Consider the following 5,445-nt stretch of genomic DNA (forward strand, 5'->3'; position numbering starts at 1 on the left):
GGAGAAGGCATAGAATACACATAATGAATGCCCCCATTCATTATATTGTATAATTCTGGACAGCAATTTAAATCTCAATAGGAAGGAATTTTAATAAAGTTCCCAAGCACATGCTGGGAGTGCAGTAAGCACCTTCGCTGGATGAATTCTGCCCACTAGACAGAACCCTTTGTCCACGGTTCTTTAGGAACTCTGGCTCTTAAGTCTGAGAAGTTTTTGTTGCATTACTCTCCTTGGCCATTTATAAACTGAGGGATGAAGACGACCACATGCTCCTTGAGGGTTCCACGATGAGCCTCTGCTTTCCTGAAAGAAAGATAAGAACCAAGGCTTTTTTTTTTTTTTTTTTTTTTTTTGGTCTTGAATATTTAAAGGCTTGTATAGATAAGCCTTGGACTTACCCAGTTCTCCCTGCTTATTTGATTATAGTTCTCAAGAATAACTGTAGAATGTACTGGGAATGCAACATCCTGAGATAGAAAGGGACTGGCTAGAACAGACCAGGCTCTGTTCCAGTGCCCCCCGGAAACAGGATGCACTTCAATGCTTTAGTCCAGCGAATCACGTTCCTCTGGAGTGTAAAACCCAGGGCAGGCTGCTTTACCGGATCCTTCAACTGCAGGACCAGTGGGGCACACACAGAGAAGACTCCATCTACTTTAGGCAGCTTTCCGGAGCCTTGGGAAAAAGTTCACCATAGATCATCAGCTTCTGTTGGTCCTTGCTGCTTATCTGTAAGTATCAAACCCACTTCATGAAACTTGTGTGTGAGCGTTCAGTCTTACTAGACTCAGACAAGTTGGTCACAGAACTTTCTCCACCAATGGTTTCTTTGGTAATCTTGCAAAAATATAAGCAGCTTCTGATCCATTTGCTTCTGCCTCCTAAAATTTCTTTCCGAATGTAGATGTCAAGTGTATTTTACTTCCCTGATTTCTGGCTCTGTGTCTCTTACTAGCTGTTCCTTTGATGCTATCTGGAAAAAAAAAAAGATAGAAGGGCCATCATTAACTTGATCTTTCATTGGGGGTCACTTTACTAGACCAAGATTCTTTTACTGGCCTATTTTGTATAAAATCTTATGTCAGACATATTCTCTCTTACTCTTGGAAGGCCTTGAATTTCTGGAGTCTCTCTAATATTTCTTCTCATATATTTAAAAATTCACCAATGGCTACAAATACATACTATCATTTTTCTTAATTCTCTGTTTTGTAAGTATGTCATCTGCCTCCCAATTTACAGTAGGTTGTCTTTATATTTGTCAGTCTCTTACATGTCTTGACTTGCAGTCCCTTTTATAATTGCTGCCTTCCTATATGAGACATGAAAATAATGTTTTGCAATGTAAGTTAGATTTTTCATGGTGTAGCACCTCACTCCTGTATAAAGTTATTTCCTGATCAGAATATTCTAAACTATCCTGTGGCAATAAACTGCTAAATCCCTGTGTCTTTGCTCATTAATGTTTTATTTGTTGATCACTTCACAGCTTTCCACAGTTTTCTCCATTAAACGATGATTCTGTGACTTCTTCCTTCTTGTAACTTTACCATCTAACTCAGTGCTTCCAAGGAAGCTTTGAAGGGGGAAAGGGAACGGAGGTAGCACACAGAATTTTCTAAAGGCCCAACTGGAAGTGACTTGCTTCACTTTCTTTATATTCCATTGTCCAGAACTTGGTTGCATGGCCTGCAAACTGACTTCAAAGAAGTGTTGGGAATGTGGTTTTCCTGTGTTTCTAAGCACAAAAAGAGTGGAATGAATTTCCTGATATACAAGCTTATTATTAACAGTCAATTAGCATCAGAAGGTTATCATAATTTTTGTTTTCTTTTCTTCTGTATATCAAGCCAAGAAAAAAAAATCCTGCACCTTTTTAAAAACTCATATGGCGGTCACTATACATCATGCATGGGAAAGTGAATTTTTTAATATTGAAATAAATTACATGTCTGTGTCCCTAGACCAAATACCCATATTCCTTTACTTAGTATTTTTCTTAAATGTGTTTGAGGTTTTATAATTTCCATACTTTTCACTTTCCATTGATTTTCCATCCACACTCCTGTTGTTTACCTCACAGTGCCTTTGGGTGAGTAGGCAAGATCGGGGCACAGGTTTCTTCTTAAGGAGAATTCATAAAGCTACCACTTTTCAAGTTCCGAATCATTGGATCATTTATCTCTGTTAGAAAAGACATATGAAATACAAATTAAAACAAAAAGTGAAGATGATAATTAAATCGTTTATTTCTGTATATATTCAACAATTTTACATTTGCCCTCTTGTAACAAATTCACATTATAACTGCATTATCCTGCTATCCCTCAGTAATAAAACCTACAAAATTTATGCAATTTTACTTTTACTAGATGCTTTGTTTAACTGTTGTAAAAAATATTCTTATGTGCCATAGGGTCCTAACTCAATGACATTTTTTCTGTAAAAGTTAACATAGCGGGTTGAAAAATATGCTTTCCATAACTAATTAAGCGTGGTCAGTTTAGAAGTGTGGTCACTTTGATTAGCTATCTCAGATAATGACTTCCTCTTCTCATTGTTAGTTTCAAGATATTCCACTACTTGCACAGCTTGTTAGCTAGTTAAAAAAATCTACTATATCTTCAATAATTGCTTCTTTTCTTCTTATCTTTGAGATTCTACGTGAAGATACTCATACAATAGAAGACAGCCAGGAAGAGTCTTTGAAAGTCAATACCTGTTTTTCTTAAAACTTTACTCTGCTAGAAAATCTTATCACTGGTCAACAATCTTATCACATAAGAAAACACATTAAACTTTAAAACAAAATTGATTTCAATAGACTTAATGGAAACATCTTTATGCAGACTTTTACTGTCTATTTGGTACCAAGGTGAGAAGAAAAGATTGTCTTCCTCTGTAAATCTCGAATGGGTCTGTTACTTTGACTTTTCTTTATCTAGGACATGAGAAAATTGTATATCTTTTGGGTAAAATTCAAAAACAATATCAAGGTATCTTATTTCCTTACCTTGGCAATGAAGTCTTAGTATGCGAACAATACTCTATGTTACTATCTTAATTGAAGTGATATGAACCACATCTATTAATTTGATTTGATTGTTACAACTGGGATACTAATATAAGATTGCTTATTCATTTTATTACCAATTGTTGACAAAAACATAAATATATGAACAAATTTATATGAATATATTCAAATAATCCTCTAGATTCCATGTATAATATTCTGCTAAAGCAATTGACGTATTTCAAGTTCTTTTTAGAAAGAGATTAATGAAATATAATGTAAAGTGGGGGACTTTTGCTGCTTGAAAGAATGGCAATTTTTAAAAGTACAGGTAAATATACCACCGCAATTTTATTACCTCTGTGTTTTCTAGGTAATTCTTACAGAAGTTCTATCCTAAGCCATTATATTATAATTTCATAGGAAAATCAGTTCCCTTGGTTTTGCTGAAATATGGTTTCTCTGTTTGCTGAAATAAAGTTTTTGTTAATTAGAAATATATATTTCATATTTGGACTATATTAGTCAGGGTTTTTCAGAGAAACCAAACCAAAAATCTGTATTGTCACTGTCCATTAGAAAAACAGAACACACACACACACACACACGCACAAATAGTTTATCATATATAACATTATATATAATACCTATACATATACATTATTGATGTACAGTTGGCCCTTGAATAACATGAGTTTAACAGCATGGGTCCACTTATATGCAATTTTTTTTCTACCTCTGCCACCCCTAGTACAGCAAGAGAAATCCTTCCTCTTTATCCTCGTCCTCGGCCTACTCAATGTGAAAAATATGAGGATGAAGGCCTTTATGATGATCCACTTCCACTTAATAAGTAGTAAATATATTTTCTCTTTTTCATAATTTTTAATAACATTTCCTTTTCTCTAGCTCACTTCATTGTAAGAATATGGTATATAATAGATATATAACATGCAAAATATGAGTTAGTTGTTTATGTTATCAGTAAGGCTTCTGGTAATCAGTAGGATATTAGTAGTTAAGATTTGGGGGAGTCAAAATTATTATGCAGATTTTTTACTGTGCTGGGGGTCAGTGCTCCTAACTCCTGAATGGTTCAAAGGTCAACTGTATTATGAAGAATTGACTCACATGATTGATTATGGTGCCTGAGAAGTCCCAAGATCTGCTGTCTGTAAGCTTCAAGACCTAGGAAAGCTGGTGGTATAATTCAGTATAAGCTCAAAGGCCTGAGAAACAAAGGAACAAATGATGTAAATCTTAGATGAGATAACTCAGTTCAAGCAATTACGCAGGAGAAAAGTGCAAAGTTTTCCTTCCTCTGTCTTTTGTTATATTCAGATCCTTAAAAATAACCACTGACTGGGCATGGTGGCTCATGCCTGTAATCCCAGCACTTTGGGAGGTCGAGGCGGGAGGATCACTTGAGGTCAGGAGGTCAAGACAAGCCTGGCCAACATGGTGAAACCCTGTCTCTATTAAAAATACAAAAATTAGCCAGGCATGGTGGCGAGTGCCTGTAATCATGGCTACTTGGGAGGCTGAGGCAGGAGAATTGCTTGAACCTGGGAGGCGGAAGTTGCAGTGAGCCAAGACTGCGCCATTGCACTCCAGCCTGGGCAACAAAAGCTAAACTCCGTCTCAAAAAAAAAAAAAAAAAAAATACCCACCAACAACAGGGAGGCCACCTTTATTTAGTCCACTGATTCAAATGCTACTCTCACTGGGAAACTCCCTTATGGACACATCCGGAAATAATGTTTACTCTGAAGTTACTTGACTCAATCCAATTGGCACATAAAATTAAAGATCAAAAAGACAAATATTTTTCTCATCTTTTAAAATACACATTCATGTGACACTAAGTTCATTATACAATTTGGAGGGACCAAAGCTAACTAAAAATTGAGATCTCTTTAAAAAGCCAGAAAAGCAGAAAAAGTACATTAAATATACTAAAATATGAAACCTTTAAATGTATATCCTGGTCTCTCTTTCTTAACCTTATAATGGTAATTTTTTAGCTATTTAATATAATTGTAAGTAAAGAAAATTTAAATTAGAATTATTACCAAGGATTTTATCATTCATTTGTATCATGCAATATCAGATCCAATGAGCTAACTACAAGAACAGGGGGGATGCTGCAACTATCTCAACTGTTTTTATTTCATTTCTTGACATATGCACATTCTACCAGTATCTTCTACATTTGATTTACTGATGAACAAGGAAAGATTAAAATAAACAAAAACTTTTAATTCCCCATCTGCCTTTTTTTCTATGTCATCCTCTTCAGCATAAGTGGTTGGCTGTATCTGTATTTTGTAGAAGTTTATTATCTTCTTTCTCTGTCTGGAGTAGGTTGTAGTTCCAATGGAAAGCATGGCTTCTCAAAGATTTTATCACCCAACTTACTAAACTATAGA

General features: G+C 35.2%; 1 long non-coding RNA gene across 1 annotated transcript; it reads right to left on the reverse strand.

Moving 5' to 3' along the window:
- Positions 1-395: 395 nt before the first annotated feature.
- LOC105374719 (uncharacterized) lies at positions 396-4,245 on the reverse strand. The gene is made up of 3 exons (XR_001742632.2): positions 4,148-4,245; positions 2,080-2,187; positions 396-976 (listed from the first exon to the last, which is right to left on the reverse strand). It is a non-coding gene; the product is annotated as an uncharacterized LOC105374719 (long non-coding RNA).
- Between the last annotated feature and the right edge of the window lie 1,200 nt (positions 4,246-5,445).

The sequence above is a fragment of the Homo sapiens genome, chromosome 5 (assembly GCF_000001405.40).
Source record: "Homo sapiens chromosome 5, GRCh38.p14 Primary Assembly".
NCBI lineage: Eukaryota > Metazoa > Chordata > Mammalia > Primates > Hominidae > Homo > Homo sapiens.